This window comes from Homo sapiens, chromosome 7, assembly GCF_000001405.40.
Source record: "Homo sapiens chromosome 7, GRCh38.p14 Primary Assembly".
Taxonomy (NCBI): Eukaryota; Metazoa; Chordata; class Mammalia; order Primates; family Hominidae; genus Homo; species Homo sapiens.
Window position 1 is genome coordinate 28,691,997 of NC_000007.14, and position 14,419 is coordinate 28,706,415.

Genomic DNA, 14,419 nt, shown 5'->3' on the forward strand with positions numbered 1-14,419 from the left:
CCTCTCTACTAAAATACAAAAAAAAAAAAAAAACAACAAATTAGCTGGGCGTGGTGGCATGCGCACGTAGTCCCAGCTACTTAGGAGGCTGAGGCAGGAGAATTGCTTGAACCTGGGAGGCAGAGGTTGCAGTGAGCCAAGATCCTGCCACTGCACTCCAGCCTGGATCACAGAGCGAGACTCCGTCTCCAAAAAAAAAAAAGCAGCAGCTGTGGAATAAAGCACTGGCTTCTCCTTTCTGCTCCCTTTTTGTTTGGTTTTTTGGGATTCTGACCTTCAAAGGGGACTCCTTTTACATTGGATTGCAGCTAGAGGTGTGGCCAGAGGTGGTGACGCATGACTGTAATCCCAGCATTTTGGGAGGCCAAGGCAGGCAGATCACTTGAGGTCGGGAGTTCAAGACCAGCCTGGCCAATGTGGTGAAACCCTGTCTCTACTAAAAATACAGGCATCTACTAATCAGAGAAGCAGGGTGGGGTCTCCTGAAAAGAGCATGGCCTTTGGGATTTAAAAGGCCTGGATTCAATCACTCTTCTACTTACTGGTTGTGTGACTTTGACAAACCACTTCACCTCTCTGTGCCACAGTTTCTATCTTCTCTGTAAATTGAGGATAACCAGGCCAACCTCGGGCATGGTGGCACATGCCTGTAATTCCAGCTACTCCAGAAGCTGAGGCATGAGAATCTCTTGAACCTGGGAGGCAGAGGTTGCAGTGAGCCGAGATCGCACCACTGCACAACAGCTTGGGTGAGAGAGCAACTCCATCTCAAAAAAAACAACAAAAAAGACTGGGTGCTTTAAGAGGCATGCATTTCATGAGTTTGGGTTACAACAAGAGTAATTTCTTAAAGACTTACACACCTTTGAAAACTGAAATTGACTTAGCACTCCAAAATCCACTCCATAGTACGCAAACACTTTAACACAAGTCCATACATCTTTCCTTCCTGTACCTGCGCTGGCAAGAGAACTCATTTAATGATTGATGAGGCAATGCTGTACCCAAGAAGAATTAATCAATAGTTTGCAATTATTATGGAGAGTGGGACAGTAGTTAGACAATAGCCAAGACCCATCTAGCTAGCAACAAAGTCTTTCTTTCTCTCTCTTCACATGGTACCAAAAAACTGAATTCTGCTTTATGGTTTTTTTTCTATTTTCCATCTGAATAACTAAAATAGAACTGGATGTGTCCAAAAAGCAAAGCCTAGAAAAAGCAATCATATGGCCCCCAGTGAATGTCAAGGTATCTATTAATGCATAGATTTGATTACTCGTCTTAACGGGAAAATAGGGTCAGGAGACTGCATTGTGTGAACTGGAATGGCTACCATGAATTACTATGTTTTAGGAGTCCATCAACTTTTTATTTTGCAAATCAAAGATCTTGAATTGAAGTCACGTTGGGCTGCACCCATGTGCTGACACGGCAGACAGTCCAGCTGGCCCTCTTGCAGCCTTTTGGGCCTGTCTGCCCACTTGGCTCTGCCCCTCTGCCCTCAATGGGGCTTGTATCACTGCTTAAAAAAAAAAAAAGAAAAAAAATGTCTGCAAAACAAGCTTTTGTGCAGAGAGGGGAAGCCTAATTACTCGTAATCAATATGGCCAGATGAGATTGGGCCCTGTGGATTGTTTTGGAGTCAGACAGACCTGGGGGCAAACTCTGGCTTTGCCATTTGCTAATTATGTGATTTTTGACAATCTATTGAAGCTTTCTGAGCCTCGGTTACTTCATTTATGAAATGGAATTCATAAGAGCATAATACACTTAGCATAGTAAGTGCTCAGCAAATGTTAGTTATTTAATAATGGAGCCAGTTGACTTCTTTGGAAGTCTGGATAATAATATATTTTGGGCATTAATAATGTAGAGAGAAATATTGTCATGTAACAGTTCCTTCCAAGAAAGGTAAACCAAGTCACAGAATGCAGGTGAGGTCATGAGTGGGTGGAGAGGTGAAGAGAGAATCATACTTCTGGCTGTACATGCCATTGGTCAGAAAACGAGGTTTCAGCTCTCACTTTAATGTACTGTAGTTTATTTCAACATCAAAAGAGCAGGGTCTTTTTTCACCGCTTTTTGTTAAGTAGTAGATTTCTTTTTTAGATGGCATAGAGTAACTTCTTTTGCATCTGCCTCTTCTTGACCTTCTTATTTATCTAACACTTCCGTCAGCTCAGCAACACTTTGCAATAAAGGACTGATCCCATTTAATTCCTCTGAAATTAATCATAATAACAGCAATTATAATAAACCCATTTAGTGTAAATGTAGTTGTAAATTGCTCTTGCGTAGCATTTTCGCCTTTAGTTTTGCTCTCACCAGCATCCACCCTAATATGGATCATGCAGTGGCCTCTCTATAGCCAGATTATTTTTCTGAGTTCAGCTCTTGCCCTAGTTCAGTACATGGCTGCTTTTTGCCATTTCCTTCCTCTGAGGGCAAGCAGGAAGCTCCCTGTGACGTGTACAGGTCACAGGGAACGTCATTTGATTTGAATTTGCTCTCACCATCCAGAACTTCCTTAGTAGTAGAATAATCATCTTATAATTCTTTTTTTAAAATTTTTCTTTAGCGACAGGGTCTCGCTTTGTCACCCAGTGACACAATCACAGCTCACTGCAGCCTCGAACTCTTGGGGTCAAATGGTCTTCCTGCCTCAGCCTCCTGAAGTAGCTGGAGCTACAGGTGCACACCACTACACATTGGCTATGTTTTTAATTTTTTTGTGGAGACTGGGTATCCCTATGTAGCCCAGGCTAGTCTCAGATTCCTGGACTCTAGCAATCCTCCCACCTCAGCCTCCTGAGTAGCCAGGGTTATAGGCGTGAGCTACTTAGCCTGACCCAGTCTTATAATTCTAAATGCACTGATGAAGCCAGAACCTAAAGATTGATGTTTCAACCCAACCCGTTCACCTTACAGATTAAGAAATCAAAGGCCAGGCACAATGGCTAACTCTTGTAATCACAGCATGCAATTCGGGAGGCCAAGATGGGAGAATAGCTTGAGCCCGAGAGTTTGAGGCTAGTCTGAGCAATGTAGGGAGACCCCATCTCTACAAAAAAAATTAAAAAATTAGCCGGGCATGGTATCATGCACCTGTGGTCCCAGCCACTTGGGAGACTGAAGCAGGAGGATCACTTGAGCCCGGTAGTTCCAGGCTGCAGTGAGTCATGATGGCACCATTGCACTACAGCCTGGGCCACAGAGCTAGACAGGAGGGAGGGAGGGAAACTGAAGCCATCCAAAAATGTGAAGAGAGTTATTCTATATCATAAAACCATTGGTGTCAGTGCCCAGACCAAGCTCTAAGGCGGTGAGGAGCACATTTCTGCCCTGCCAGGCCAGTGAGCTTCCTGGTGCCAGGAATTCTGTCATATTGCCCAGGCTAATGCTTTGCAGTCCCTTTTTGAATTCTGACTCCTGGGGATGGTGGGGTGGGAGGGAGCAACCAACAGGCAGGCCCTTGAGACTCTGGAAATCATTCAGGCAGCTGTGCAGAGACTCCTCCCTCTGGTCTGGAGAGAGGGGTGCAGAGGCCACAAGATAGCTTGCTTTTTGCCTCCAGCCATCAGCCCCACTGGGGTCTAGTTAGTGGGCCAGAAGTTGTGGGCCCTAATAGCATTGGGGTAAATGTCCTGGAGTCCAGCTCTTTGCTTCCCACCACTCTCTTCTCTCCTCCCTCTCCATGCCTGAGCCCTGGCTACACTGAGTGCATGTCTGATGAGGACAGAGCTTGGAAGCTGCCCCAGAACCAGCACCCACCCACCTGCAGGATGTGACCTCTGGGCTCTGAACACACTGCTTCCTCCCTCTTCCTCCCCACCTAGGGAACAGTTTTAGACCACAATTCCCAAACAGCCCCACTTTGCACTTTAATCCCAAAGAGACTCCAGCACTTTGTGACCACAGAAAACTTGTCACTTCATTATGATTCTGAAAAAAAAGAGAGCAAAGGGTAATTCATAGTTGTTTTAATGACTTTGCATCCTTTCCCATGGAGGCAGCTTTCAGCTGTTAGGCACAAAGGACGCTGGCCTTCTCTGACATCTGACAGTGCAGTGGAGCAGCATTTTCACAAGATTCTTCACAGCCAGTTAACCCAATTAGTCTTCCCACAGTCATTACCCAGGTGCCGTACCATTCGGCTGCCTGGGAGCCTCCAAAGCTCTGTTGTGTGGAGATGAACTATTGTGCCTCCCGACCTTGAAAGGATGTTTCTAACTAATTAATGATTGTTAAGTGCTTGGAAAATGCACTGTGGAACTATGCTGGGGCTCATATGTCTGCATCTTCAGCTGTGCGGATGCACTGAATGCAAATCAGAAATCCTTCCTGCCATTTGTAAAGCATAGGAAGATGGATATGACCCTTTCTTTTCTCAAAGAGTTATCTGTCCTCCTCCTCCTCTTTTTCTTCATTCGTTTCTTCTGAGCTGTGTATTTAAGCTCCCTTTGAAATGGGCCAGTGTTTTGTACCATTTCTTCTACTGAAGTGAGAAGGATCTTATAGGGTTTTTCCAGCCACGTGATCTTTAATGAGGCAAATTGAAAACCACTATTGGCTGAACCATCCGGGAAGAAAATGTGGTTTTCTGTATAGTAGTTTTTAAATTTTTTTGATATGAGCAATAGTGGGAAATATATTCTGTATCACAGCCCAGTATACTCACACATATGCATATATATGTACACATATATATACACCTACACATATATACATATGTACACATGTATACACATATACACACACTACATACACACATATACATATATATACACATACGTATACGTATACGTATATATACACATACGTATACGTATACATACACATACGTATATATACACATACGTATATGTGTGTATGTAATGTGTAATGTATATACACACATACTCACATTACATACACACATATATGTGTATATATACTTCACATATATGTGTGTATATGTGTTATACACACATATATATATTTGTGTGTATATATACCCATGGAAATATATACATGTGTATATATTTATATACACACATATGTACATTGGATTATGTGTATAATATGCACACATACATATTTATATATACACACACACAATTTTTATGGAATAATACTTAATTTTTACTGCGTATAACATTATTTGGATATCTGATATATTAGATATGTATCTATTGTTCTAAAATGCTGATAATGTCAGATTAAGCTGATTTCACCAATTTCTCATGAATTGGCCCCCTAATGAAGTGCAGTCAGCATTGGAAACACACTGGTATCATAGAAAGGCCACCAGAATGCTGGGCAAGGATCAGGGGACCTGGGTTGTATTTCAAGTTTTGTCCCAACTCCTAGATTCCTTTCCCCAAACTCTGTGTCCTCATATAAAATTAAGGTATTTTGTTTTCAAACTGAGGGTACCCTCAGACTACTTTTTAAGAAATCCTCTTGTGGAAAAGCCCATTATGGAAAACAGATCCCTGACTGGTCCATATCTCCTCCCGTAAGTCACCCCCACCCCCTCCCAGAGGTCCTTGCAACAAAATCCAAATCCTACTGGATTAGAAATTTCATGACATCCATCTAGTTCTGGCCTTCAATGATTAATTTATTTCTTAGGTAATAGATTCATCTAACAAAATGCAATCTGATTTATTTCCATGGATTCTGAGCTAGGAATCGCAATTGGGAATCTCCAGAACCAATGGGGATTTTTGCTGTAGGACCATCGTTCTTTTCTGCCTCAGCGTTGTCATTTGTTCTTTGGCCTTAAGAGATAGACTTCTTCAGGGAAGGAATGAGTTAGAAAGGTCTTCAGTTGATGTATGAGCAGGTGGACACGTGTGGATGTTTATTTATGTCATTGTGTCTGCTGTTTGCCTCCTAAATTCAGCAGGTTCTTGATTTTTAACACAGCTCAAATCATTTGGCCTACAGCTGGTAAAATACAATTTTCTGGGTTCTCAAAAAGAAAGGCTTTTCAGACTTATAAAAAGAGAAGCTCATAAGACTTCTTGAACATCAAATAGCTCTTACAAAACACCATTTTGATGAGTTAAGTGTAAATGAATCAGAAACATACGGATTAAATTTCCCTTGAAAGACACATGGGTTTAAGAATTAAGGGGGGAAAGTGCTTGGCAAGATGGATTTCAGGTTTGTGCCAAACCTCAAAATGTTTGAAAAATGGTTTGAGACATTTTTACCGAACGCAAAATGCCATTGAGTTTCCCTATCCCCAGACATAATAGTGAATCTTTTTGACAACAACTGTATGACAAGAAAAAAAGGCCTGCGGGACTTAGCCATTTTCTCAATTCTTTAATAGTCTCTCTTCCTCATCCCCCAAACCCCACTCCCCACCAAAAAAAAAAAAAAAAACACACTCACAGGGCTAAGAGAACTTCCTGATTAAAGTTTCGAGTCAGGCAATTACCAGAAAATAACCCCACGACTCAAAAATACATGAGTCCCCTCCCAATACTATCCAATTATACCATTTTCTAAGTGGAATAATGCACCATGAGGATAGGCAGTATTTGCTATATTTTATTCACTGGTGTCCAGAGCAGTGCATGGTTATTCTAGACATTTGTCTGACATTATAGTGCCAGCTTCTTTGGGGAAAGAAAATAAGTTCACTAAAAGCAAACAGATTGGAGAGAACTATTCATTGGTTTATTAAAACAGCCACATTGTGGAAATGCTATGTTTTATGAAGGCAAGACATGGGATGAGGCTTTCAAGTTGCTGGGAATGGTCTTGGAAATGTGCATTCTGTTATAGCTTCTCTGTTGAGTAAGCTGTGTTATAATTTCTCCACACCTCAGAATTCTTCCTGGCATGAGGAACATCAGGAGCAACATAGTAAGGATCCCGGGACTAATTATCTTATGAACGGTGCACATCGTCTGTATTCAATGCCCTCCAATTATTTTTTACTAGCTATGCCTTTTACAGGCTGACCCTTTTACAGCCTCATTTTTCATATGCAAAAGCACAGAAGTGGGTTTTGAGCGAGATACTCACAATAAGGGAGGGAGAGGGACTGGGTGGGAAGCCATGGGCTGGGCCATTTGCTCTGTGAGGCTGCCTTGTCTCATACTCTTGTTTCATTTTCATATTTAAGCCAGGATGACCAAGGTTTGCTTCCTTCCTTCCTTCCTTCCTTTCTTCCTTTCTTCTTCTTTTTTTTTTTTTCATTTGAAAGAAAGGGCGTATTCAGTGACTGCCAATATCGGTTTAGAAACTAGAGTATTAACTTTGCTGCCCTGTGAAAGTGAAAAAAAGAAAAGAAAGAAACTAGGAGATAACAATGTATTTTTTCAAAAGATTTCAATTCATCGTAGACCAAGAAAAAGCTATCTTTAAATCTATATGTTTTAATTCTATGCTGGAAGTCATGGACAAATCTATTTATTATCTTGTTAGGGGAGCATCTCACACAGCACTTTGAGGTAGGAGTGTGCTCTCTGGGAACCAAAATTAATTTGTTGCAAAAGCAGTACCTAAAAGGGAGAGGAAATGTCACATTAAACTCAGAAAACCACTTTCAGTACTTCCAGGGAAGATAGTGCATAACAGTGATTGTTAAAATCTACCCGCTGACTCCCACCAACTTATGCTTATCTATATTTATTGAACTGTATAAATGAAAACTGGAAATACTGGAGTGAAAAAAAGTTATATCAACTTTCTGTCTTGGAAAAGGCTTTTTAGAAACAGAAATAGTAGGGCCAAATTATGGCTCTATTTTTACCTTTTCCAAAGCAGCTTAATGTAGAACAATAGGGCCAAGAAGGGGTTTTTTCGCTCTGAAAAATACCGAGTCCCCTGCCCAAGAGCTCCAGTGCCTCCCTCCCACTTACCCCAAATGTCTCTCTCTAATGCAAAAACGACCAAAGTGTGCAGAACAGTCTATCAAATGGTTCTTTTAATTTGTAACTCAGCCATCTACCTGAAATACTGGGAAATCAGTTTTAACATTTTTATATGTATATAGTTCCCAATTTGGTGTATACAAGGGCATCACCTAAATGGGACGTACATCAGACAGTCGATATTCCTAGAAAGGATTGTTATCATCCAGAGATCGTTTTCATGTTATTAAGCTATGAATGACAGTAGTTGTTTAATATCTTCTTGGCCTTTGTTGACATATTTTAACAACCTGCCTTGCACAGACAGTAAGCTCTGCCTGGAGCCCTGCTACCAATATCTCTCCAACTCACACACGCGCACAAGCACACACACACATGCATGCATGTTCCCACGATGCAGGGCTAACTTCTCATCTTTCCTGGAACAATTCATATGTCTCCTCTTCGAGGACCATCCCCTGGAACCCCCGGGGTATTAAATAACACTTTGAGGGGTATCTCCCATTACACCCTCAGCTGACTTCCTTGGCTATTTGCCTTCATAAATGATGAATTCCTGCAGGGCAGCAATGATCTTTTATTCACGCTAGGCTCTCAGCACAGTTCCCGAGATACAGCAGAAGCTGAGTAAAAGTTTAACAACAACAACAAAAAAACTTTAAAAATAATTTTAGCTGTGTTTCTGTTGGATCGAATGTTTATTGAAGTCACACAAAGTTAGGTGGGACTAAAATCGGCCCTCTGCAGGCTTTCTGAGTTCTTAGTACTCCTAGGAAAAGTGAGGAGTAAAACGCAGGGGAGTTTGTGCTCAGATGATGAGCTTCCTGCTTGATTTCAACTCTCTCCTGTAACCTGTGTTTATCTTGATGGCCTTATTTATATCTATTTCCTTTCGATAAAAATAGAAGCTCCAAAAAGTGAATCTACCACACAAGGGAGGATACTTTTAACTCAGGCCTAAGTTTCACAGATAGAGTTACGATGCTGCCCTGCGTGTAGGCATCCAGCTAGATGGTCATTTTCTGAGTCATCTAACTTCTGAGTTTTCATTTTTTTAAGAGTATAATTAAGATAGGTTCCCAGGGATTTAAAAAAAAAAAAAAAAACAACCCACCAACCCTGTGAGTAAAGTAGACAGTCTATATGTGGAGACCCATATAAGGAGATTTGTGGGCACCTGCCCAACTTGAGAGAAGCATTAAGAGCTATTCGAAACCTACTGAAATGTCAACACACTTTTGAAAAAGGTCCATTAGGGATGCAAATGTGCAGCTCCCTGATTATGATAAGCACTGGAAAGAAAACAGTGAAACCCATTAGGAGGCTTTGAGAACTGGGTTCTGAGGCGCAGGGAAGACAAGTCTAGTTTCTGCGGGTGCTGGGGAGATGAAGCCCAGCCCTTCTCTGCACCCTGAACCAGTGATTCTAATGATTTAAATGGCCCCCCAAAATCCCTCTTATTTTGGATAAAGCCAATTAACTCATTTGTAAATGGGCCAACTTTGAAATTCCATCAATGGCAGATAAAATTCATTTTAATAAGATTTATTCTGTAAAGTACAAACTGTGACTTGCTTCTGTAAAGGATCTGACATTAGAAGCTCACTTCAGGCTTTTGATGTGTTTTGGTTGGTTCTTGCAGGGGTTTTTCTTATAAAAGGTTGATTCCAATTTAAAATCTATAATTCTTACTACATACTCGTCTACAAATCAACTCAAACTAGGGGTATATATTTCTATCTAATAGTCACTTAGAGCTCTTTGAAAAATTACCTAGTCAGAAGGACACCTTCCATTCCAGCTGCCCAAGTTGTTCACATATGACATCAAATGATAGTTATAGTAATGGATAAATTGGAGCATAATTTTTTTGTAATTGCTCCATAAGTAAAAAAATATAATTGATTTTTTACCATCTTCCTTGATCTGGAAGGAATTGTATCAGTTTCCAGGACGTTGTAAAACAAAATATTTAAAGTATGTTTCAAATAATAAAAAGAGAAATACTTAACTTAATAAAGATGTGGAATTCATTTATGAAGACAAATACTGGCTGTGAACCAATAGGCCAAAGAGTCTGCCAGAAGTTTGCTGTAGACAGTCATTCTTGTATGTCCACTCTGCCCTATCACTCTGAAGTTCAATCCATATTAAGAAAATGAATTTTCTCAGCCATGCTAGACTTTGAAATCATTGATTTTGTTTGCTTTGTTTTTGAGTAATATAACAGAAGGTCTTTTTTCAGTTTTCTTCCTTATAAGGAATAGCAGTCCGTGGCACTTATAATTATAGCTCTTTCAGCCTTATTTTAATTAAAGAGGTTTGTTTGGCATATATATTTGATGCTTGGGAATTTTATATAAAAGTTATAGGTTTTGATCCTTCTGGAGAGCTTCAACAACTGAAACCATGGTGAAAATGGAAAGCACTTAACTTTCGTAAGAACACTTGAATGTTTCAGTATTACCCGAAAGCAAAATTATAAGCCTTGGAAAGAAAACATTTCCATTTGGCATTTTCACTTTTGTGCTTGTCAAGAGAAATAGCCTCAGGCTTCAGAAAAGCAGAAAGATCTATTACCAATATCATGAGGCAAGCACTCCGGTGCTCACTTATGTTGGATCAATCTTGTTCACTTCTAGAAGCCTTTCCAACTATGTTATGATGTTCTCCTTTCTGCTTCTCCATCCAGACGGAGCAGTGTCCTCCAGAAAGTAAGCGTACATTTTCCCAATGGTGAAAGGAAACCAGAATGATTTTACCCAAATGCATAGCCCCTGCCTCCAGGGAGATTTGAGACTAATCACAGAGATGGATACTAAACAAAATAACCATACCTATTAATATGTTATTAGAAATAGCATGAAGGAAAACCACAGGGGCCTATGTGACCCTTTAACTTTGTGGTTGCTAGATTTGGCCTTTAATTTGGGGGTCAAAGAAAATTTTAAGAAAGAGATATTTAAAAGGAGACCTAAAGGATGAATGAGAATTTGTCAACAAAAGAGCAGACGGCAAAACCTTCCAGGCAAAGATCAAAAGATGCTTCAAGGCCCTGGGGTGGGAAAGAGTGTGGCACATTCTAGGAAATGAATGGAAGCTTGGGTGGATAGACCCTTTCAAGCCAGGTGGAAAGATAGTACTACAGGCATCAATGAGGTAGAACATATAAAAGATACTGAAAAAACATCCTAAATGCTAAGGAAAATCATGCAAGAATGTTGAACAGGGAAATGTCATGACCAGATCTTTGGTTTATGAAGATCATTCTGGCTACAAGACAGAGTTTGGATAGAAGAAGAGCAAAACTGGAGTCAGAAACTGTTGGAAGAAACCAAGAGAAACAACACTGTGTTTTGGACTAGGATCTTGGCAGTAGGGATGGAGCCAAGTGGATACACTCCAGGTCTATTTTGGGGGTGGAGTGAATAGAACTTGGTGAATGATTAGAAGTACAAGATGAGGAATCTCAAAGTTAATGACTAAATTCTGCTAATTCACTTCTACCAAATATATTTAAGGAAATATGAGGGGAAAGATCTAAAGACGGAGCACTGTACTAGTCAGGGTTCTCCAGAAAAACAGACCAAAAAGAGAGAGAGATATATGGTTTATTATAAGGAATTGACTCACCAGATTATGGAAGCTAAAAAGCCCCATGATCTGCCATCTGCCAGCTGGAGACCCAGAAAAGCAGATGGTGTAAATTCCAATTGGATTCTGAAGGCCTGAGAACCAGAAGCACCAATGGTGTTGCTCCCAGACTAAGGTCAGGAGAAGACAGATGTCCCAGCTCAAGCAATCAGGCAGAGAGAGAGATAACTCAACCTTCCTCCACCTTTTTCTTCTATTCAGGTCCTCAATGGATTAGATGAAGCCCACCCACATTGGGGAAGGTATACTGCATTACTCAGTCTACCAATTCAAATGTTAATCCCTTCCAGAAACAACCTTATAGGTGCACTCAGAAATAATGTTTAACCAGATATCTGGGCAACCCATGGCCCAGTCAAGTTGACATAAAACCTACCATCACAGGCACCATGGACTGGATCATCCATAGGACTCAACCTAGGCACTTAGGGAATGTCATCTTAGCTCTTTAGCAGGTGGTGTCAGGTATCATCTACTATGAAGTAGTGAAATGTTTTTCCTGGCAGACCTGGAGGATTTTCATCATTCTCAAAATGTCCAGTTTAAACCTAGTCCCAATGAGTCTGATGGCTCCAACACTGAAAAGACAGAACTGCTTATTTGGGGACCTGTCCTACCTCTCCTAAAAGATGTCATTGTGCTTACTAATAAATTACTTATTCTAGTGCACAAAGAGTGAAACCTTTATTTCCTGCTCATCCAAAGGATTATTGTTCATATGTGAGAAGAAATGACCTCCTCGCCTACCTGTCACGATTCCTGGTTCCTGCTGCCCTCCTCAGCTAAATGTTACTTGCACTCAGAGATCATTTGAGCCTTTCTTTTGTTCAAGGAAAGGAAAGTCCAAGAACAACCAGTAAGGAATTACTCATCTATATGTGTCCACCTTTGAGGAAAATCTACCTTTAACTGACGTGTTGCTTCCCTGAAATAAATAATAGTTCTGGATCTCTCACTTTTTTTTTTTAAGACAGAGTCTCTGTTTCTGCAGTGACACGATCATAGCTCACTGTGTCTTCAAACTCCTGGGCTCAAGTGATCCTCCCACCTTAGCCTCCCAAGTAGCTAGTACTACAGGCACCCCACCATGCCTGGCTCATTTTTAAATTTTTTGTTAAGATGAGATCTTGCTAAGTTGCCCAGGCTTGTCTGAAACACCTGGGATCAAGAGATCCTCCCGCCTCAGCCTCCCAAAACACTGGGATTACAGATGTGAGCCACTGCACCCAGCCGGATTACTCTCTCTTGATCATATCTACTCATTTAACTTTAGGGTTGAAAAGGCCCTTGAAGATTGTTGGTTCAGCCATTTTTTGTGTGTGTGTGCATGAGGAAACAGAAACTCAGAGGCACTGAGGACACAGCCCTAGATCACCAGGCAAATGACTGGCTGAGTCAGTAGACACTCTTGCTGGTGTATTCATATTCAAAGCCATATCATGCAGGACTCAGTTACTTCACTTTGTCATTTTGTGATCATCAGGTTGACACATCTTAAGAAAGCACAATTTGGCCTTTCTGTTCTGGTCAGGAATCTGAAGAAAAAAACCAAGCTATCGGCTGGGCATGGTGGCTGACGCCTATAATCCCAGCACTTTGGGAGGCCAAGGCAGGCGGATCACGAGGTCAGGAGTTCAAGACCAGCCTGGCCAACATGGTGAAACCTCATCTCTACTAAAAATACAAAAATTAGCTGGGTGTGGTGGCAGCCACCTGTAATCCCAACTACTCAGGAGGCTGAGGCAGGAGAATTGCTTGAACCCGGGAAGCAGAGGTTGCAGTGAGCCGAGATCACTCACCACTGCACTCCAGCCTGGGTGACAGAGTGAGACTCTGACTCAAAAAAAAAAAAAAAAAGAAAGAAAGAAAAGAAAACCAAGCTATCATGACAGACCAGTGAAGGGATTTTTGGGGGAACACTTACCGCCAGTGAGCAAGCATAATGTTTTGCATGTTCTTTAAGTGTACTGTCAGTCACTTTCCGTTTCTATTTATACTAGGGACTTACTGTCTATAGCTAAAATTGACATTTACTGTGCCCATAACCCTACCACAAATTAAAATCAGACCCCAAGTCCCTCTGGGGAAAATGTTTATTAAGCTGTAGGAAGACATCTGAAATGATACCAAATTGCATTTTAAACTTGAAACCCCAAATACCACATTTGTTTGCAAGTAGGAATAGGACTGTCTGAGGAATCATTTGAGAAACTGAGCAAGTCACTCTCTTTGGCAACATGCAGGGCCACCAGGGAAGAGAAAAGTACCTTAGAAGAAACACTTTATATAAACCCCTTGTGGCTTTTAAGTAATCATTTAAACGTAAACAAAATATTCTTTAGAATGAACTCAAAAGAAAAGTAAGCCTTTTAAAATTCCATGCCTTTAATGAACAGACACAGACATTTCAATTGTACTTATAAATACCCTGAGAAGAGGGTTGAGAGAAATATCGAAATAAAACAAGTCCATTAAAATGTAAACCTGGGTTCCAGAGTTTCTCCTGCTAATACAGGCAAAAGTGTGTTTGAGACAAAAAAAAATCTTCAGCCGGGTGCAGTGGCTTGCGCCTGTAATCCCAACACTTTGGGAGGCCGAGGCGGGTAGATCACCTGAGGTCCGGAGTTCGAGACCAGCTCGGCCAACATGGCGAAACCCCATCTCTACTAAAAATACAAAAAATTAGATGGGCATGGTGATGGTTGCCTGTAATCCCAGGCACTCAGGAGGCTGAGGCAGGAGAATTGCTTGAACCTGGGGGAAAGAGGTTGCAGTGAGCTGAGATCGTGCCATTGCACTCCAGCCTGGGCAACAAGAGTAAAACTCCATCTCAAAAAAAAAAAAATCTTTCTAGCACTTTTGCCCTTTAGGATGTAGGTATCTGTGGGTGT

General features: G+C 41.1%; 1 protein-coding gene across 13 annotated transcripts in view, besides 1 other annotated feature; it reads left to right on the forward strand.

Annotated features, from left to right (window-relative positions):
* CREB5 (cAMP responsive element binding protein 5) overlaps positions 1-14,419 on the forward strand; it is a 526,574-nt gene that overhangs the window by 392,676 nt on the left and 119,479 nt on the right. The gene's annotated exons all lie outside the window — the stretch shown is intronic.
* Positions 12,775-12,844: an enhancer, noted in NCBI's record as "active region_25799". NCBI's record gives its function as "activates an Ori minimal core promoter by ATAC-STARR-seq in GM12878 lymphoblastoid cells {active_cell/tissue: GM12878}" and the evidence as "EXISTENCE:reporter gene assay evidence [ECO:0000049][PMID:35858748]".